The sequence below is a fragment of the Homo sapiens genome, chromosome 13, assembly GCF_000001405.40.
Source record: "Homo sapiens chromosome 13, GRCh38.p14 Primary Assembly".
In the NCBI taxonomy this organism is placed as follows: domain Eukaryota; kingdom Metazoa; phylum Chordata; class Mammalia; order Primates; family Hominidae; genus Homo; species Homo sapiens.
This window is the reverse complement of record NC_000013.11, coordinates 98,385,638-98,407,762: the sequence shown is the minus strand read 5'-3', so window position 1 is coordinate 98,407,762 and position 22,125 is coordinate 98,385,638. Positions and strand designations below refer to the sequence as shown.

At 44.4% G+C, this 22,125-nt stretch overlaps 1 protein-coding gene across 2 annotated transcripts in view; it reads right to left on the bottom strand.

Annotated features, from left to right (window-relative positions):
• The window catches only part of FARP1 (FERM, ARH/RhoGEF and pleckstrin domain protein 1), a 312,588-nt gene that overhangs the window by 47,414 nt on the left and 243,049 nt on the right, over nucleotides 1-22,125 (bottom strand). For both annotated transcript variants that reach the window (NM_001286839.2, NM_005766.4), the window contains exons 8-13: nucleotides 21,949-22,096; nucleotides 19,285-19,380; nucleotides 17,643-17,806; nucleotides 16,883-16,951; nucleotides 14,045-14,120; nucleotides 12,287-12,536 (exon numbers count right to left, since the gene is read on the bottom strand). In NM_001286839.2, coding sequence (NP_001273768.1) covers nucleotides 12,287-12,536; nucleotides 14,045-14,120; nucleotides 16,883-16,951; nucleotides 17,643-17,806; nucleotides 19,285-19,380; nucleotides 21,949-22,096 — 803 coding nt within the window. The remainder of the gene's footprint in view (nucleotides 1-12,286; nucleotides 12,537-14,044; nucleotides 14,121-16,882; nucleotides 16,952-17,642; nucleotides 17,807-19,284; nucleotides 19,381-21,948; nucleotides 22,097-22,125) is intronic.

The following is a 22,125-nucleotide window of genomic DNA, read 5'->3' as shown; positions in this document are numbered from 1 at the left end:
GTGGAGGAAGATCCACTGTACCTGGAGAATGACAAAAGGCAGACGTCCTGCCCACGGACTACTGGTTAGTGCAATGATCCTTGGATAGCAAGATTAGAAAATGTGAGGAAAAGGCAGATTCAGTAAGCTTGCATTTTTAAAATCCCTCTGCTTTTAAATCCTCATGTTTTTTAATATACCTCACTAACATGAAGCCTTGTGTTAGACAAAGACCCCATCACCCGAAACACCACCAGACCCAGAAAACCCCGGAGAAAAAGGCCAGAAATTGCTTCACAAATGTCAATTTTATTGACACTAGTGCACAACTAAATACAATAATTGCAAAGGAAGTGGAACGTGTCAAACAGAAATGGTGACAATGAGTTAGAACTGCAGTTGTTTCAAGGTACTACACTATTATTTAAAAAAAAAAAAATCACAAAAAGAAAAATGTTATCACTACAAGTAGGAATTAGAAGAGAGAAATTCTGGCAGTCTGTCTAGAGGTTAAAACATTTCATGCATTTGTGAGTTGCTGTTGGAGAGTTGTTTTTTATTTGTCCACCGTAATCTGGCAACATCCGGGGCTTACCTTCAGCTCTCGCACTGTGCGTGAGATCGGGTGAGGCAGTTATAAGTGAGAGCATGCTGGACACCTTGACTTTGCAGTGACGTGGAACAGAAAAAGCATTCACCTCATCATTGAAAGAGTTGGAGCCGAGAATAAAAGGTAGTTAGAAGGCTAGTGGGAAGGGGAGCGGAGGCAAGGAAATAGCAACTAACAGGCCCTAGACAGCATCCGGCAACAGAGAGGAAAAGAACTGCCACTCGGGGCAAGGGAAAAAGTAGGGGGAGCACACTCCGATACAGCCACCTCCACTCTCAAAGGCCAACAGCGAGCACCCTTGCTGCACTGCACCTGGGAACACACATTTAGGGGACAGAGCAGTTGGAAGAAATGAGGTAACAGACTATGGTTCCATAAGAGAGCCTGCCTCGCCAAGAAGGCGTGCCACGGTTCAGAACAATCCCCACTGTGCTACAGAGGAGACAGGACTCAGAAAACAGAGGGCCGAGTGGGAACTTCAGGGTCACCTGTGTACCTAAACGAAGGAACAGCTCAGGATTAGCCCACAGGCTGCTGGGGGCAGGCTTGCTGCATTTCACTCACGGAGCCTAAAGATGTCAGTAACAACTACTTAATATGTGCGCTCTGCAGACTTGGAACGACAAAATTAGGGTGGTCAGTTGGCCTTTTCCCAAGACGCTACTCCAGCTTTGCTTATAGGGCCTAAGAAAGAAAGGGCAATGGGTGTGTTTAAACAGCAAGACCAAGAAGCCAATAAATATCAAAGTCTGGTCTAGAAATCTATCAGCATTTTAAGGAAGGGAAAGGCCTGAAACTCTACAGTTCAGTTTTGCTAATTTGAGCTGCATCTGTGGAGAAGAGGCCCCTTCTCTCTTTGCAAGATAAACAATCCGAGGCTTTGAAAATGTACAGGTGACGTGGTCCAAACAAAATATGTAACTCATTTACCTTTCAGCAATTAATGAAATATGCTGACAAGGGGGCAATTAGTAGAATTTGGCAGCTTGATGAGTAATTAAAATTCTCTTTTGACTTTGAGCCAGGGTGTGTGACAACAGTCTGTACAAACTGGTGTCCATACCAGCAGGTGGGAAGAGCTGTGTCTATAAAAAGCCAATGTCCAAGGTCACAGAGTTATTAGAACTACGTGGAATCAATTTTTCACTGAAGTAGTCCATTTTACAAAAAAGCAAACAAACATGGTTCTGTTGTTAGGTAAAATGAGCCCGGTTTGATTTATATGGCATTATAAAGCTTGTTTACACCTTGCAGTCTGTCACCTGCTTTGAAGGCACAGCCCCGGGCAACGGGGAGAGGAAACTGTGACTGACATTCATTGCTACTCCATGAAATTATCAATGCCTCGGTATTTCTAGCACTTCTCCCTTTATGACAAATTAATGCAAAGTAATTTCATTAGGGAACTCGAGGTAAATAATTTGGGGGGACCCTAAGAGGAAGCACCTGCTATTAAGGCAATAGGTGGAAAGAAGTTTAAAGAGATTAGAAAAAAGATCAGTCACACACCGAAAGTCTGGAGGCTTTGAATGTTTTCAAAATTATTTTTCCTATTTCCTGAAATTGCCCTGCAATTTCTTAGGCATTCAGTTAGATGTCAGGTTAGTAGCTCTCAAATCCTTCACCTCTTCCCCATGATTTCATGACCCCTCCCGCCACCCTGCCATTCATCTAGAAGAGGTTTGGGTTTATGCTGCCCCCCTCAGACTGAAAACACCTCCAGTCATACAGCTCTCAAGGGAGGCATTTCTAGTAATTGCTTTATAAAATCCTTTCAAATGTACACATTCTCATGGCACAAACAATTACGGAACTTCAAATTAGCACTGCTATATTTATGGATTTCAATTTATCACCCAGACCAGAAACTGCCTGCGCTGCTCTCTCTTTGTAATTTAAAACACGCTCATCATTCTTCCCTCTTGGCCGGTCTGGGGAAGCTGGGTTTGCAGCATCTTGATCAGCTCTTCGGCAGAGCTGCTGAAAGGCAGTGGGAGGAGACTTTATCATCAGTGAGCCAAAGCCAGGCCTTTCTTCCCGCTTTGGGATTGGGCACAAGCTGCCTGTTAACCATGTACCGGTATTCAAGGCTTCAAAACAAACTCACACAATTCTGGGAAAAGAAAAACATTTCTAATCTATTTTTCAAGTGATAAAAACGGCATTTCTAGTACTTAACTGTACCTGTCCTGTTTTTTAAATGGGTCTCAGTTTTTAACCACATAGGTATTATTTTTTCCTATAAAGGGGGAAACTAGAAAAACTGACAACTAAAAAAATAGTAATCCAAGATATGCTTATTGAATAGCTAATATCTGACAGAATACTGACAAAAATGAGACTACTGATTGCATTCTCAATTTTTCTTTTCCAAAATTTTAAAGTGCAATTATAAAAAAGTTTCTATGCTTTTTCTTCAATATTCCCCCACATAAAATTATTTATTTTGCAATCTTCTGGGTGCCACTTATCTACCATAATTTGTCTTCTTTTATTCTGTTCTAAAACATAGGAGATTTTCTCTCTATGTGCCCAGAATATGCTCAAAAGGCCCAAGTAGGAAATATATTAGAGATGTAGGTTTTCATCTATTTTTTTGAAAGGCTCTATTTAAATCCATACGCTCTAAGAGGATACAATGAAACCTCTCTTGAGATTATCCCATTTGAAAGCCAGTTATCAAAAAAAAGGGCAGTATTATGCTGAATAATACGTAGCTTCCTGAATAGGCAGGACTCACTAGCGTCTGATATCTAAGTTGGGGCTCAGTGGAATACGCAAAGCTGGCGGTATTTTATAGAAATTACAAAGTTCCACAAGAAAAGCCAGGTTATAGGATTACCCATGTTAGCAGTGTGGTCCTCTTCTTGATACCTGAGGTTGTTGAGGGTAATGTATGTGTGCTTCTTAGACCCAGTTCCTTTAAGAAAAGTTTCACAAGCAGCTAAGCATCAGCTTCACAGTTCATCATCAAGCAATTCAGAAAAGCAATAGCAATGCAACTTGCAGGAAAAGAATTGAAATGCACTAATGGAAAAATGAATGTGCTACCTTGTTCTTACTTATGAGGAAAAGACACAGGAGAATGCTGCTTTGTTTGAACACGGTGGTGGTGATGGTGGTGGTGATGTTGGTAGTAGCAGTGGTGGTGGTGATGGTGGTGGTGGTGGTGGTGGAGGCAGTGTTTGGGTTGGGAACATGGTGCTTCGTACCAATGAAAAATACCATCTTGTACTCAGGACAAAGCTTCAGCCATCAGTGGGAAAGAACAGTTACAATGGACAGTTTTTACAGCATGATACCTGTTAGGACAAGTAAAAGCCCCTTCAGTTTAGATCAACAAGAGATATATTAATACCGTGCATACACTGTGACATGAGCTTGGCCTTCCATGCTCAAAGAACCACCAAGCTCATTGTTACTGGAGAAGCCAGCATTCTTCCCAGTGGTATGAGTCCATGCTTTATTGACGTACTTCATTGTTCCGCCATGGAGAGAAGAAGAAACCAGACAGCATCTGTGAGAACCTACATGTTGGGTGCCCACCAAAATGAAAAACAGCTCCTTGGCCATCAGAAGCCAACTGGGACCAAGTCAGGTGAGGCCTTTTCTACATTCCCACCCACTTCCCCACCCAGCAACACACACACGTATCTACATATCTATAAGCTAAATTCTCTTACAGATATGACATAGGTAAAGGTTTCTATCCCAATTGAAATAGATGTTTCCATTCAAAACATAAAGGCAAATCCATGGTTGGCTGTCTAGGCTCTCCATGCAAGCTACAGTCACAGATGCGTTCTGTTTCAGTGAGACCTCTCCTCTAGCTACAGTGATCCTGCTCACCTCTAAGGGCCCCCCTTCTCCCATGCACTGCCCAAAGTATAAAGTGCAAGCCTTGTTGGAAGAGCAAAGTTCACCTCTTCTTTTCCCACTTTAGTGAAATATGGCATCACCCAGGACGATCACTTAGGATGCTTCCACATGAAAGCTTGCACTTTGGGGAATAGGATCACTGTATTCTAGAGGAAAGAGGTATTCCAAGTACAAATTGGTATTCAGCAGTGTTAAAAAAAAAAAAAAAGACATCAGACAGTGCTCCAACAGTGTAAGAACAGAAGCTACACCATGCTTTGAGGGTAAAGACAGAACGCTGAAAACAAAGCGTTTTCTCCTAGATAGGTACATGCTGACAAGACACTGCATACAATGGAACAACGGAAAATGTTTTCCCAAACTGATTAAACAAATGACAAAAATGAGAATGAAGTCCCCAGCCTTTTCTATTTCAAATTAATTTGGTGTATTAGAAATTTTAAATAAAACATATTATCTACAGTATTAAATATACACACAGAGAGAACAGAAGGGAATTTGATTAATAATATAGGCCAAGCTGGTGAGGTTTGGTTAGTTAGGTTTTCACAGCAACCTTAGGAGGCAGAAACAGGAGTATGGGTAAGGGATTTATCCATCAGCCATTCTTGGTGCTTCTGGAGCGAGCAGCCAGTGTGCGTCCTTAACTAAGGAAGACCTATCTTCAGTCTTTCAATAAATCACTGCAGGGAAAGTGACAAATGCTTTACTTCCTACAAAGAAACTTTGAGGCCCAGAAGAAAAAGGAGTCGTTAGCTTGGTTTCAAGAGCCAGAAAAGGTCATCTATGAGTAATAACAGACTGGTCACCATGCCACTGCAGGCTCCTAAGTGACCCTTCTATCATTTCCCACTTTAAGGCCAGCTATCAATCCTGATTCATAATAAAGCAGACTCACTCCCTCACAACCCCCACACCACTACCGCCTCCACATCTCACTCAAAAGTGGAGTCAATCACTGTCCGATGCATTTTACTCCACACACGCACACCTGCCCGGTAGTCCTCGCTCCCTCCTTAGCGTCCTTGGTCTGTGTGCTTTTCCATGTTGCAGTGATTTCTAACTACTCCTCACTCCTCAACATTCTGCAATTGCTGCACCTGGCCCCAGCAGCACACTCCAGTATCTCACAGCACGATTTTCCATGACCGCACTGGCGGCGCCGGCCCTGTAGAGTTAACCTTTTAGACTGGCTTTCAACTACTCATGGAGATCAGATATCCCGTGGCAAGTTGATTTTTAATCTTCCCTACTTTCAAACAGAAAGCCACTCCAAGACAAATCAGAGTAACCTGATCTGGAGACTACATGAAGATGCAAATGCACTGCCTCCACTCCAAGTAACACTCCAACACCGGGCGCCGAGAAGATGCTGAAGGCTTGGTTTCGAGGCTACCATGCTGTGATGTCTGTGTCGAGTGGCCAATCTACACCGAAATGATCCTGAATAAATCAGAGTCTATTCAATGTTTAAAGCTTTCAGGAAAAGAAGATTTTCTAATTCTTCCCTAGCATCTACCAAGACGTTTAATTGCTTTCACTAGGGGTTAAATAAAAAAGTTCCTCCTGCTTGAGGTTTCATCTTTTTTTTTTTTTTTGGAGTGGTGTGCAGTTTATTTTATGAAGTGAGAACTTTTTTCAAAACAAGACGCTATCTCCCCTCCTCCCAAACACACATATGGCACAATAAATCAGCATTTACCACTTCTGTTCATGGGGAAATGCTTGGAAATCTCTCTCTAGGTTACTCTAGGAAATGACAAAGTTGCCCTTTTCAAGGATATACCCAAACAGCTAGCACCAGGCCACTTTTGATCTGTGATGTCTACAACTCCAGGCCAAATCATCATACAGATTGTGTGTGTGTGTGTGTGTGTGTTTTGTCATTATTTTTTAATAGAAAGAAAACTGTTATATTAAGTGTCACGCTAATTTTGGCCTAAAAGTCACAGCTTCATTTTAAATCCCAACAACTGGGAGAGGTGTGTACATGTGCTCACTAGAGACACCATTTTTATTAAGTTTCACTCAATTAAACAGAAACAGATGGAATTAAACTAACAAGGAAAAAAAACAGTACCAGTAAATTCTTTAATGTTGTCAGAGTAAATGTCTTTATGCCGCTCACAGAAGTTCATTCAATCGTACCTTTCTCTCCATATGCTCTTACGGGCTTGGCTAACAGAGAGCCAATATAAAACTCATCAGAGAGCTACCATTTTAAGTGGAAATGGTAGCAACGGATTATTTTTAAATGGCCACCTCTTTAAATTTATGCCTGAGGTTGTAATTTTTTGAATTTTTGTAATCAGACCTTGATGATGACCGTGAGCAGTAAGATATAAATAACTCCCACATGCTTAGCGTTCCAATAATGGAACACTACACATACATGGCTAGGGTTCAAAGAAACTTGCTCTGTTACAGGGATTACCTAGAAAGACTCTTCTGCAGTTCAATTTGTAAAATTTAGCAGCAATAGAATAGACTCATACCATCACACTAGAGGAAGGCCAGTCTTAGAACTAAGTCCATGACCATCAGAGGAGAAATGTTTACAGACCATAAAAGAGAAAGTCCAGAGAAAAAAAGTCTTTCTGGGGAATGTAACTTTAAAAGCTCTTAAAAATCTAGCTAATCAGAATAAGGTCCCAGGCAAAGAGAAGGGATCCAGATAGAAGCAAATAAAACCAACATAAACCTGATAGTTAAGGGAACCCAGATTTGTTAATTTAAGACTGGGTCTGCCTGTAACGCAATTACTCACTAACAGCTACAGTTTCACCAAAGTCATTCTGTGCTGAAATACGGAATAATGCTTTAAGTAGAAACAGTGGACTGAAAGCATGCGAATACTGATTACAGGTATGAAACAGAGAGCTGTGTGCACACTCATGGCAGTTTCAACAACATTTAAAATGACAGATTAATATTTACATTGTTTCTTCCTTTAGAAATTGCTTGACAACAAAACCAAATTTTTGTTTTTGGCACCAAATTCCAGGGCTAATAACCAAAGTTGAGTTTCTGATGCACATTCAGAGCAGACTGGATTTTGTATATTTGGTGGAAATTTTGAGAGGCTCGTGCTATGTTTTAGTTTTGCAGGCCTAGCTTTTTTCAGCATTGCTTGGCTTGAATCTTCAAATAAGTTCTTGAGAATAAAATCAGAATTACTTACATTTTAAGTGCAGGCCACATGGCACAATTGGGGGGAGATAAATCAGAAATTTCCAAATATGAATCACACATGCAGGGAAGAATCTGGCCCACAGACTTCCTCTAATTAAACGCCTATCTAATAAAATATTGTCAATGGCATACAGATGACTGTTCAAGGAGCTGAAGCCATTTATTTTGAGTTCTGGAGCTCATTAAATGTATTTCTTCATGCTAAAAGAATTTCTTGCGTTTTTATTTTGCCCTTAACAAGCGGCAGCAAAGGCAACCACAAAAGGGTCTAAAATTCACATATTTTGAAATAATATCCAACAAAAGATATTAGCACAAGGAGGCCCTCGAGTAGCCAACAGTGGCTTTAAGATTTGTGTTTACATAGGGCTTGTCTTCCATTCACGGTCTTAAGATAGCACGTCACAGAGCAGCCAGTGAGTGGCTGGTATCTGAAGGCCTGGGTCCCCTATTGAGTCAGGAGACCCCTACACTAGCTATTGTCCTAGAAAGATTGGTTGAGAGGTCTCAGGAAACCCTTTGGAAATCTGAATGCATTCAGAAGTCTGTAATATCTGCTACCTAGTATCACACCCAACCCTACCTCTGGCCTTCCTCCACTCTTAGTTCAACTTCATGCACACGCATGCCCTTGTTAAGCTAGAATGAGATCTGCAGGCTGGGTAAAGACCTGGGGGACTGGAGTCTCCCCAAAGTCAGAAGGTTTGGAGGGTGGCAGGGTAGATGCTGCTGGCTTTTCCTGACTGAGCTCTTCACAGTGACACTGAGGAGACCACATCACCTCAGCAAACGTGCTCCACCAGGCTCAAAGAATGTATAAACGGACCCTTTGGCCAATGTTATAGAATCTTTATTAGCATAGGACAAGCTCCTCTTGAGGCAAGTAGTGACTATTCGCAGCACATCAGGATGTATGATAAACAGCCTTTAAACAAACTGTAAGCACCATTAATTACACCAGGATTGCTGCTTTTGTGAATACTGGCCAAGAAGCAGAAATTAAGTTGCTTGCCTGGTACAAAGCCAGTGAGGGAAAAACTCTATGAGCAACTCTTAAAGTGAAAAATCTCATCAATACACAACTGAGTATACTGCCATTGATCAACTGCTCTTAAAATACTTAGATAAAAATCACTGCTGTAGGAAAAAGCAAAACAAAATAATGATTGAAGCGTGTTTTGCTCGGGGATGCTTACATTTGACGATTCCTGTCATACGCTGTGTAAGTTCATACCTAGTGCTCAATCGTATTTCATTACCAGACTGCTGTATAATTAGAGGGAAAAAGAAAATTCATTTGAACAAACCACTTTCACAGATAAACCACAGGATTCCACACTTGGCTCTGTTTAACTCACACTTCACTGAACACTCATAGCAAATTGACATTTTTCCTATGTCTGAACAGATTATGCAAAAATGTGTTATAACTGCAAAACCCTCACCATATAAAAAGAAGTAGTTCTTCCCACCTATTATGGCCTGTAATTGCCTAAGTCTACTTGATCACTAGTCTCCACATCCGATTTGAATTATTAATTCATATGACTCTCCAAAATTAAAATATTGAATCAAAAAGCTCCTATTGCACCAAGATATCACAGAGATTAAAAAAGTGAAGCCTAGAGACGAGGTTACAGTTTCAGCTTTGTCATGCAATAGCTGTATTAGTTATGCAAAGTCACTTAACTTTTTCAGAAGAAATGAAGGTTTGCCCAGAAGAACCTCTGAGGTCCCTTCCAGTTTAAAAATTCTGTGATTCTGGTTAAATATATAAATTCAAAGCAAGGCGTAAATAGACTACTTCAATGAACAACTCTCAAACGATCCAACAATCAGCTTGATTCAATCAGGCACTGAATCAAATGATTAGGAAAACAAAACAAAAAAAGTCTGTATAAAAATGGATTAAGTGTTCAGACTCTTTAAAACCGACTTCTGGACATTCATGTGGACAGATATCATTTGTCAATGAGACGAGCCGATCCTCCTCCATTTTCTATGCTGCTGCCAAATTCTACTCAGTGTCCTAAGCACGCCTGGTGCTTCCCTTGTGATCGGGTCGCGTGATGAGCCCAGTGAGGCCCTGGTATGGTGGCACATCAGGGAGCTATCCTTGTTAGGACTCTTTTCAATAATTTTGTAGTTACTTAGGATCTAAAAATTTTATTCTACAATTTATCTTTTTTTTTTTTTTTTTTTCAAAAAAAAAAGTACCTAAGGCTGAAAAGTACAAATCACAGGCATCAAGAAAAAGCAGTTTGTTTGTGATGTTTTTCTTACTCTGCAAGCAAGCCAAAAATTTAGCTAACACTTTTACTGTATTCCACTAGATTCGAGACAGCCTGGGTAAGAAGTGACCCTGGCTGCCCAGTACAAACAGCTGGGAAGCCCAAGGAGCACTCAAGACCAATGAGATCAAAATCCCTAGGGTCAGGGTCCCGGCATCACTAATTTTTAAAATATCTCAGAAAATTGCAACGTGCAGCTAAGGCAGAGAAACTTCAAGTGAAAACCAGGCTCTTTAATCTAAAATGCAGGAATGCTGGGTGAAAGGCAGTGACACTGGTGGGCAAGATTTAAAAAGAAGTCAATCTCTCTCTCCTTACATTTTCTTTTTTCTGGCTCAGAGAAACATCCAAGTATCACTATTCCCAACAGAGGACACTGTTCACCAGAGTGTGAATGGTAAGACTGTGTCTGTACACCAACCAAGAGCAACCATGCTGGAAAACAGTCCTTCTCTGCGCTGTACACAATTCAAAGGCAGGCATTTAGTTTGTTGACCTACTGGTGACAACAGTGCCTATTTCAAGGTGTTGCTCTTCCCTGCATCCACACTCAATAGGATTTCAGTTTCACCAAGAGATTCTGAGAGGCAGAATTGTACTTCTTAAAACATAACAATATGATCCACCAATGCAAACCTAAACCAAACCAGCAATCCCTAGTAGATCACAATTCATGAAGATTTGACAACTTTTCTAGTATTTCACAGGAAGCCTGGGAAGCAGAAATAACCCCAAATTCTTCCCATTAAAATATTCATTATTCTTGACGAAAGATTTCACCAACATAATCTCAACTAGCTATCAATTTACATTTGGCCTTGAATAGTGCCAATTCCTCACTTCATGAGGCATGGACAAAGCAGCCCTCCTTTTAAAGAAGGGGAGAATGGGAAACCCTTTTCTGTAATCTCAAGGATGCTTCAGTTCAAACTCTCAACCAACAGGAGGGTGAGCTGCATAATTGAACATACACAGAAAATTGCCATATAAATATAACACACTATACACATGATCGGATTCATAATAAAGTGTTTCTTCCTAGCCTTCAACCAGCAAAATAAACAAGCTCCTGAGAACTTGTCATTAGGACTTGCTGTTTATCTTGCCCACCTTTTCTGGAAAGCAAGCCACTTATGTGAAGTTTTGTTTTTCTTAACGATTTTAGAAGTCAGGCAGACTCTTTCAAACATGTGCCTGTCCAAAATCTCCTCTAACAAATGTAGACTACAAATGAATGAGTCACTAGAACAGATGATCTTTAGGGAAACCCTGGTCTCGTGACCCCAGGTTGCTCGGGCTGAAGACTTGGCTCCTGGCCTCCTCACTCATCCTCCTCCTGTTCCTCACTCATCCTCCTCCTGTTCCTCACTCAAACGCAGGCCACCCAAGGACCCCCGGCTTCTCAGCAGGGACGGGGAACGCAGCACTGCGGGGTTACCAAATATGAGGGGCTGACTCCCGGGGATCAGCATCTCAGAGTCTGACTCACTGGACTCAGTCCCACTGCTGGTGGAGCCCTCGGTCACTTGCAGGGGTGCCAGCTGCCCCGCCATGCCTCTGGCACACACCGACTGCACAGCAGGGACCTTAGAGGCTGCACCCATGGGGGGTGTGCCATTAGCCAGGCTTCTACCCTCGGGAGCAGCTGCGCTGGCTTGCCCCCACTTCCCACGGCCACCAAGCCCATCCATGGCCTCCGGGGTAAATGCTACCTGGCTAAGGATGAGTGGATCTGTCTCTGACTTATTACATCTACCAGGAAGATTCCGCATGTATGGCCTTGGCGAGGTGGGGGACCAGCGTTCATAAGGAGGACCCTGGTCCGGGAGAGTGTCTTCTCCCATACTCCCCTCTCTATGGTCATGTCCATTTTCCGAAACATAGCCTTGAGACCCAGTTCTGTCCCAACTCATATTTGGACTTGAACTGCTGCTGCTGGGAGACAATGGGGTGGCCAGGGGGCTGTGACCAGCCGAGCCCTTGAACATTTCATCTATGAGAGAGCTATGCCTTGGGAGTCGAGGGCTCCCGCTCATATCAAAGGTGATGTCTGCTGAATCGTCATCAAGGAATTCTCCGGAAGGAGGCCGGGAGGACTTCGCAGAGTGCGGGGAAGCCCTACGCCCAGCCTCTCTTCGCCCCTCCTCCCTGGACAGCAGATAGACACCGCTGGTCAGATCACCCTCATAATTGTCATTTGTTTGGGACCGGGACCGGGATCGGGACCGGGATCGGGACGCTTGTTCTCTAAGAAGGTCGTATTCGCTATCTACGTCACTGCAGTCAATGAAAGGAATGGAAGTACTGCTGCCTCTGGCAGCCCGGGATGCTGGACCTGTGCTTGGCTGCGGGGGCTGAGGTTTACTCTGCTGGGTCCTATCCTTAACGACCTCCTCCTCTTCCTCCGTGGGCGCCGAGGCGGCTCCGTCCGCCTGCTTGTTACCCGCGGGGCTTCTCCTCGGCGCAGGGCTCGGGTGCGACCCCGGCTCCCCGGCGGAAACCTTCGGTTCCTTTCCTCGCCGGCAGCTCTGGCCCCCTGGAGATTCGGCACCTTCTCCAAATGTAAGGCTGGTGCTCTGCTGAGACTGGGTGGGGTGGGGAAAAAGGTGCGGAGAGATAGAGAAGAGGGAGACTGTTATTCCAAGGCTGAAAACAGAAAAGGAGAGCCAGGCAAGAACACCCGAGGCCTCTGCGGCGGGAGAACTGCCCCGGAGCTCTCTGGCCTAGCAGCAATCACGGAGGCACATCTGGGCATGATCCAGAAGGTTCCTTCAGGGCGTGGCGGCTGACAGCACTGTTCCCGGCAGCACAAGCCCGGCCCGGTCTCTGCTTTCCAGGACCCGCCGACTCATGCTGGGGTTTGCTTTGCTTTTCTTTTTTGGAGGGGGAGACAGGATCTTACTCTGTCACCTAGGCTGGAGTGCAGTGCTGCAACCACAGCTCACAGCGGCCTCGACCTCTTGGGCTCAAGCAATCCTCCCAAGTAGCTGGGACCACAGTCCTGCGCCACCATGTCCGGCTAATTAAAAAAATTTTTTTTGTAGAGATGGGGTCTCCCTGTGTTGTCCAGGCTGCGCTTGAACTCCTGGGGTCAAGCAATCCTCCCACCTCAGCCTCCCAAGTGGCTAGGACCACAGGCATGTGCCACCACACCCGGCTAATTTTTAAATTTTTTTATAGAGACTGGGGTCTACGTTGCCCAGGCTGGCTTTGAACTCCTGGGGCCAAGTGATCCTCCCGCCTTGGCCTCCCAAAGTGCTGGGATTACAGGCGCCAGCCACCACGTCCTGCTCATGTTGGGCTTGTAAAGCTTCTACGGAACAAGACGGCCCTTCCAGCCCACAGGGGGTCTCCAGGGAAGGATGGGCAGGCACATCAGGGACCCCTGAAGGCAAGTTGACACAGTCATCAGAAAAACGACAAAGGACATGTTTGCTTATACTTCTCAGGGCAGCCTGGACGGGGAAAGGGGTTTTTTTGGATTCACACGATGAAACCTCCTTTATATTCTTCCCCAAGTTTCTTTTTCTCTTTTAGAGAAAGCCCTGAGAACTTACCCAGAGACCAACTCCAGGGAAAACGAGCTTTTGCCACCCTCAGAGCAAGAGTGATAATGTCTCTTACTGCCAATTGTGGTCACTGCCCTGTAATACAAGCTCTGGGAACTCGCCGACCAGTTCTGTGCCAGCAAAGGCTTCTGGCCTTGGCACCAGGCAGGAGTTACACCCATTGGTTACAAAGCGGGTCCCCATCTCTTCCCAAGTGGACCCATTTAGCTGGAGAGTCAGTCTCAGCTCTGCCCACTGCCGCGATGGTTCCGCCGCTGAGCTGAGTTCTCAGTGGCTTAGAGCACCGCATGGGAGATGAGAAGGCAGCTGAAAACACAACACACTCCACGGCCTCTGAGCCCAGGCTGCCGGCACATGGCACAAAGCCTATATCTGGTCAAAGCCAAGGCCCATAATCAGATTCTCATCTGCTAAAAACCCCAAAGGAAAGGACAGAGAACAAGAAAGCCCGCTCTGAAGCCCAGGGCTCCGTGGAGGAAGTGTGGGGAAAAGCAGAGTTATCATAGGACAGCGCCATCACTGACCTGCTCCAGCACTTCCGAATTCAGTTCTGTAGGCTGTGAAGCAAGGCTCCGGATAGAATGAATCTTGCTGTGCTTCCTGGGAAAAATCACACAAGATCATTAAAGTTAGGTGAGGTTTTTGTTTCTTTTTCCTTGGTTTTAAATGAAACAAAAGTCCTTTTGTTGGACGTATTAGTGCCTTCCTCAATAATGATGGTACCCAGAGCCGCCTTTACAAATGCTACTTGGAAACATACGCAGTCATCCTTTGATAGCACTTGCATGGTTCAAGGGTTACTTAAATCTCGGAGAAATTCTCAGAAGCCCTTGTTGTAGTTCTCACGGTGCAGCTCGTGAAGAAACATTTAGCAACTGAGCAGGACCTTTCTAGTTAAGGGGAAAGTCACAGAGGAGGGAGGATGTGGCTGCGCCCTCCCATGCTCTGAATAGCAAGCTATGGTCTGACAATATGAAATCAATTCATGTACTTTAGGTAATTATTTTCTGGATCAGTTCTATAACAGAGGCAATTACCACTCATCCGCTCACTCTATCAAAGCGGTAAGTTCAGAGGAAAAGGCCTGCCCTCAACAGTAGAAGGAACTGACTTTAACAGCATCTTGACACGTCTCTTTCATCTCTTCCCTCTCAGTCTGCCTATTCCCCTTTTCCCCATCAAACAGGCACTGAAATGCTCAGGTCCTGAAATTCATGAGACTGTGTAAATATAGATTCTATTCCCAGGCACATCCAGCTCTTCTTCAAAATACTCCAGGTTAGCACAGAAAAGCTCTAGAGATCCACATTCTGAATCAGAGAGAGAACTGGGCTATTTCTTACATGGTTTTCAAATACTAACCATTGACTGTCCAGGAAAATTATGGGATTCATCTCCAAAAAAAAAACCTCCTGAAAAAAACCTCCTGAACATGACATTTATAGAGACAGGGCATGAGAAAGCACCACAGATTTGTGGTAGAAGGAAGATGCAGGGATGGCCACAGAAGCAGGTTTATTTCAGCAAAATCAAAACAAAATACTGAAATAATCTGGATGGTTCTCAATAGGCAATCAGAGAAATACAGTGTAGTATCTTCATACTACTGTATGGCCCTTAAAACAGATCTCAAAAAAAAGGTAGTATTAAAAAAGCAAGATGCAGAATTATATATGGGAGTACTTATATGAATGAAAAGAACACACTCAGAGCAGTTTTTCTTTTTTCTCTTTTTTTTTTTTGGGACAGGATCTCGCTCTGTGGCCCAGAGATGGAGGGCAGTGGCACAATCTTGGCTCACTGCAGCCTTGACCTCCCAGGCTCAAGCAATCGTCCTACCTCAGCCTCCCAAGTAGCTGGGACCACAGGCATGCACCACCACATCCAGCTAATTTTTTTTTTTTTTTTTTTTTTTTTTTGGGTAGAGATGAGCTTTCGTCATGTTACCCAGGCTGGTCTCAAACTCCTGAGCTCAAGTGATCCACCCACTTCGGCATCCCAAAGTGCTGGGATTACAGGCATGTGCCATTGTGCCCGGCCTCCAGAGCAATTCTACACACTCTTTTGGGATGCAGTAATATGCATACAGAAAGGAGCCTAAATGTGGCAGCTGCCTCTGGGGAGGGGAGAAGGGAAATTACCAGAGCTGGTGGTTCAAGGGGGTTTTACCATGTCTGTAACGAGAGCTGCAAATAAAAGAAGAAAAAACAACCCCAGAAACAAATGTGTCCAACTGTTAATGGCCGTTAATTCTAAGTAGTAGGAATCTGGGTGTTTGCTGACTTCCCTGTACTTTATTGTAATTTTTAAATGTATGAAAATGAAAAAAGTTTTTTAAAAACGCTACATGCAGTAACTAGTTCTTGAGGCCTATCCTCCGCTCCTTTACCCTCCTTGGGTTCTGCTGCTCCTCCTTGGAGCATTGGGCTTGGGAGCTGGCTGGCTGGCCAGAAACTGCTTAGCAGCTATGAGACCTGGACTAGTTATTTAACCTACTGGGGACTCAGTATCTCCATCTTTATAAAGGGAATAAAAGAGCACTGACCTCACAGAGCTGAGGTGAAGACTCAATGAGTTCACTCAGGCCCAGTGCTCGGAACAGCCTGGCACACACTAAGGGCTACAAGTGTTTGATAACACCAACAACAATAATAATAATAAATCCTGTTTCTGGCTGGGCATGGTGACTCTTGCCTGTAATCCCAGCACTTTGGGAGGCCAAGGCGGGAAGATGGCTTGAGCCCAGGAGTTTGAGACCAGCCCTGGCAACATAGGCAGACCCCATCTCTACAAAAATTTAGCTGGGAGTGGTGGTGGGCACCTGTGGTCCCAGCTACTCAGGAGGCTGAGGTGGGAGGATTGATCGAGTCCCAGAGGCTGAGGCTGCAGTGGGCTGTGATCACACCACTGCACTCCAGCCTGGGCAACAGAGCAAGACCCTGTTTTGAGAAAGAAAAAATCCTGTTTCTGCTCATCCAGATTTACTTGATTTAATTAAAATGTTCATAGACATGCTTTCAATACAAATCCCAAAATATTGAAGGACTCACCAGTGAGCTAGTTTTTATCATGCTTCATCCCCCACTGTGATGTCCTAAGCCCTTCTCTCCTTCCCCAGTATGTCCTCTCCCGCCTCCCCTAGTCCTTTCTGTCTGTTCTCATCTCACTCTCGAGGGTGTGCCCCTGGGCTCTAAAACCTTCCTCTCTAACACTGGACTTGCTGAGGATGACTGAGACTATCATTTACAACTCAAGGGACATCAAGTCTGAAGTCTGGGTAAAGAAATATTTAGCAGCAACAAACTGTTACCTGGCGAGTCTGAGCCTTCTCAGACTGGAAGTAGCATTGAAGCTTCTCTTACCTTTCAAACTGCACCTTCTTATGTCCTCCTTCTTTAACATAGTCGAGAACCTGCTTCTGAGTCCGACCACTGAAACAGAGACCACAACAGGGAAGGGGAGAAATACCAAGGCATTCTCATTTAAACACACAAATGATGCTTCAGGGCTTCACTTCCCCTCCTTCCCTAACTGGGAGAGATGCAGGGTTGCTTGGCTAGCCAGGACTAAAAGCAATCCTGACAGACTCTGTATTTTTGGGTCCACTCAGTCTCTTGATATTTTCCTTGAATATACAGAAAAAATGTTCAATTAACTAAGCCCACTTGATAACTGTGTTTGGTTACTAAGCAACCATCCCAAGAGCCTGTGCCTTTAGTGAAGGCAGGGATCACTGGGCTCAGTGCCTGGAACAGTATTTGACACATGGCAGACAATGATTTGTTAAAAATGAATGGAAAAGTTCACCAATAACATCCAAGTCCACATATTCTATGAAGCAACACCAAATGTTAGTAAGACACTGTACTTCTACTGAGAGAGAAATCCTTTCTGAGTTAGAGACTCCCGCTAGGCGTTTACCATGACTGGGTGGCTTTGCCTGGTGCCTCTGCTGTTCAAACAGAGCCCACTGGGATTAAGATACAAGCGCCCCCGCTTGGCCATAGCTCCTGGAGGCCAATGAGCGTTCACCTCCCTGACCTGCTGTGTGTCACAGCGGCTGTGAGAGGCGGGAGGAAAAACGTGCACCCAGCAAACAGAGGCACAAAGTGGCGACCTCACCTGAACCGAAATGATGACCCCCGGCTAAAGAGGACGGGCTTGGGCTTTGGTTTGGGCTCTTCAAAAAGTCTAAAGAAGGCATGATGTTCAACACAGATTTTCCAGAAGGACTTGCAGAAATCCCGACTGGCCATCAGGAATTCCAAGGTATCCTGGTACGCACTCTAAAAAGGGAAAATACAACGGTGGTTTTTTCCATTACCCATAGATACACCACTGAAATAGGAGAAAAGGGGCAGAAGATAGCTTTGTCCGATAAAGTTTTCGCTGTGTATTTTATTATAGCATGACCATCAGTGCAAAGACTTACTAAACTCTAGTTATTCTTAAGGACAAGATGTGGTCCCTAGTCCATCATTTTCTTCCCCACAGAATCTCTTAGACGGGTAACAGAAACAGCCACGTGGCTTCAATGGAAGTGACACCATTTTTTGACAGATTTCATATACAAATTATGTTTATTTGGCTTACATTTCCTTGAAAAACAAAACCCAGATACTGAAAGTCCCTTCCTGCCTCCTTAAAATCACTGAAACGCAACGTTCATCCTCTTCCTCATACTTCGTGTCAATGTTGGCTCTTACGTCGTTTCTCTGTGAAGTCGCCCACGGCTCCGGGCTCCAGGCCACCCCAGGAACTACACAGGAAATGAATTTTTTTTTCTGGAGCACAAAGTGTCACTCTTGGCTGAAAAAAATCATGCCCTTTGATTCTGGAAAGGGGATATAGAAATTTTCTGCTCCCAATTGAAGTGGCCATATTATATAAACAAAAGTTACTACTGTCCTTAGCATTCCCAGCAGTTCTAACTATTTTGGGGGATCTCACAGTTTTGGGTGGACCCAACTTACAAACAAGCTGTGCTGCAGTTCTTTATCTATAAGGCAGCTTTTTGGAACTCCAGTGAATTTTTCCATGGAAAACCATTTAAAATGGGTATATGCTTCCCAGGTCGGGCCATGAAAACCTACTGAACCCAGACTGTAGCTACACTATAAGCCTAATTGCCATTTATCATCTTCTTTGCCATGGGAAAAAGAACTCTACACGCTGGTTGGGGACAGACGCCCAGGACACATCACCCACCTCCTCCGTCGCCATTTCTGGCAGACAAAGAAGAGGCTTCTCCTCCCTTCCCGTCCCAGTCCTGGCGTGGGCCACAGTGTTAGGCGTGTTGTGGGAAGTAAGTGGGGAAGGGAACCTAATTAGCCCATGAAAATGAGTTCCACTGGGGGCTCAGGGCCTCCAGCAGGGATTGGGGAAGTCAGTCTATGCCTGGGGTAGGGCAGGATACTGAATGGGGTCTCCAGGTGTAGCCTGGGGCTGGATGCACAGCAATAGCACAGCTCAGGTTGTTTATCAGGAGGGGCTGCCTGAATCTGCGCAGGGAAATGACCCTCTCCCCAGGTACATGTTCATGTACCTCCTTTACGCTCTCTGTTTACCAACGATGACAGCCGTAGAGTTACCGACCATTTGGATACATCTGTCCTAGAGACGCTCGGCGTTCATGTGGACAAAAGCACCTGGGTAGCACTGGCCAGAGGTTCAGCAGAAGCCCTGCCAAGCAGACCTCCACCCCTTGCAGGACACACGCCATCCCATGGCTCAACGGGTCCCCTTTCCCGCCAGGACCACTTACATTGGCATCTGGCCGGAGCTTGATGAGAAAGCGCTTCCTCTTGAAGCTCAGCTTCCGCACCTTGGCCCAGTTGAAGGCATTGATCTTAGTGAAACCCTAAAAAGAAAGACAGTAGCAGTGAGCCAGGAAATGCATAACAAGCAACTTGGGAGTTGGTCTGTTTTGCTTATGGGAGCTAAAGGAAGAGGGCTGGCAGGCGACTGCTCAGTAGAGATGACTTTTGCAGAGAACTCACAGGATCTGTGGCTATCGGATGATACCTGTTCCTGGATCATTATTTCTCACTAATTATAGGATTTTGGCATACAAACTAAGTCTGCCTCTAGGGAGAGAAGAAACTAGCCAAGATAATGATGAAAAGAAAGATAAATAGAAATAAAAACCATGACAACCACCACAATCATTAGCTGCCAGGACTTAGGAAGCGCCAGGTACCATCCTGAGGGCTTTATATACTGTATCTTAACAACCCTGATATGATAAAACCCAGCAAGATGGACTTACTATTTTCATTTTATACACATGGAAACTGCAACGTGGATTTATTTTAATTTGCTGCAAATGACACGTTTAATGTGGCAGAAAGAGACTTCCAAGCACACGCCTTCCTGGCAGCTATGGTTAACATTCAGCAGGTTTGCAATCAACTCCCTGCTTCATCCACGCTGGTCTGGCTCCTGGGCCCATCAAGCTTCCAACAGCACCGGTAGAACTGAGGATGGGAGGCCAGGCCTGCTGTGTGTCTTCAAGGCCAGCACAGTCTCTGGGCCGGATTCACATGTCTTCATTGTCTTTGGCAGCCAGGGAGTCATTGTCTCCATCCAAGGTGGAGAAACAACGGGGAGCTGCCGGATACCAACTCCCATCTGCCCAGTCTCAGCTGAAATTAGAATTCCTCTGGAGCCCACTGGAACACCAGGCCTGTTCATTTAACGTGGCAAGAATGAAGCAATAGGGCACTGGCAAGAAGGTGGGTTCCGAGACACAGGCTTTGCACGTGACTACATTACCCAGGTATTCCCAATACTTAGGGATTGTGTCAAACACAATCAAAGCACATTAATTCAATTGTGAGACACTTCTTTTCCTTCTTAATACTTTTTAGAAATGGTTCAGGATTGTGATTTGAAATTTAATGATAGTACTCAAAACTCCACTTGGCTTTATTGTTTTTCTTTTTGAGACAGTCTTGCTCTGTCACCCAGGCTGGAGGGCAGTCGTATGATCTTGGCTCACTGCAACCTCTGCTTCCCAAATTCAAGCGATTCTCCTGCCTCAGCCTTCCAAGTAGCTGGGATTACAGGTACACGCCATCATGCCCAGCTAATTTTTGTATTTTTAGTAGAGACGGGGTTTCACCATGTTGACCAGGCTAGTCTCGAACTCCTGACCTCAGGTGATCCACCCGTCTCAGCCTCCCAAAGTGTTGGGATTACAGGTGTGAGCGACCGCGCCCGGCCTATTGTTTCTCTTATCCGATACTCAGAGGCTATGCGTGCAGGTCAAAAACTGTCAAGAAAAAATCCGCCTTGAATACCACACTGCTCTCACAATGTCACTCCCTACTACCTGGCAGGAAGCCAACTTAACTCTTCTTGGGATGTGATTTGTAATAATTATGCTGTCATAAACTTCTGGTGCATGAATAGAGAATCACTGGAACTCTTTTGATAAAAGATAAGGGGGAAATATAAGCAAACCTGGAAGAGCTCAATAAAGGGTTTTAGGTCCTGAACATATTTACAACTTCCTAACTGGGTGAAATCTGATCCTATTTCATGAGAAAGGCGGGTGCTTTCTCTATATCCCTTTGAAACTAAAAGCACAGGTTACCCACTTGTGTTGAAAAGGAATGTACTGAACAGCCTTTTGGGGGTGATGAATACGTTCATTCTGTTGGTTTTGTGGGGAATTTTACAGGATATACATATATATAATAAAAACCTATCAAACTATGCACTTCAAGTGTGTGCACTTTATTGTACGTCAACAATACTTCAATAAGGCTACTAAGAGAGAAGCATTGATCAATGAAACAGTCCAATAGCAGAATGATCAATAGAGCACACATTTTAGAGTGCAGAGAATCATTATGTCTTTAAGTAGAATACAAGTAAGAATTCAAGTGCAGTATGTGTTTTGCTACAAAATTGCAAGAATGTGGCTTTTATGAATTTATAAAACTGCTGTATCTTAAAAGTGTGCCTAACACTCTTTAAGTATATCTGAAGTCCCGACCAAATAAGCTGGCTCAAGCCAAACTGTGTTTGAAAAAAAAAAAAAAAAAAAAAGGATCACATTACAGCAAAGTATCATCTGTAAGTGTGAAAAAGGTGTTTATTCGGGGACCTAAAATCTCGATTCCATTAGACTGTGTTCTAAGTGTAGGTCCATGGAGAGCTACATGTTTCTGTGATGCTACAAAGTCAATAAAACCAAACAAATCTGTAATGTGGATTCCCCAAACAGGGCAAAGGTAAGTGAAATAGAATCTGGGAGCTGAGGGCCTGGGAAACAGAAAGCCTGAGATGAGGTTAATTTTTCTTTGTTCGCCGAAAAATAACCATCAGAGGTCTTAGCCCACTGAATATGAATCAGAGTTGAAGGGCCAGCTCTTCTCTCTCTGTCACCAAGGGAACCAGGCCGTGTTCTCAAGGCTCTCACCTGAAACACTAGAATTCCCGTGTTGGCAACGGCCAGATTGATCTTCGTGCCTTCCCTGTCCTTGGCCGGGTGCAACCGGATTCCATACATCTCTAGCCGACGGGCAATCTCTAGGAGCTGGAAATCTGATTCTGCTGGTGTTTGTCCACTGACAAAACAAAAATTAAACAGAAAGGC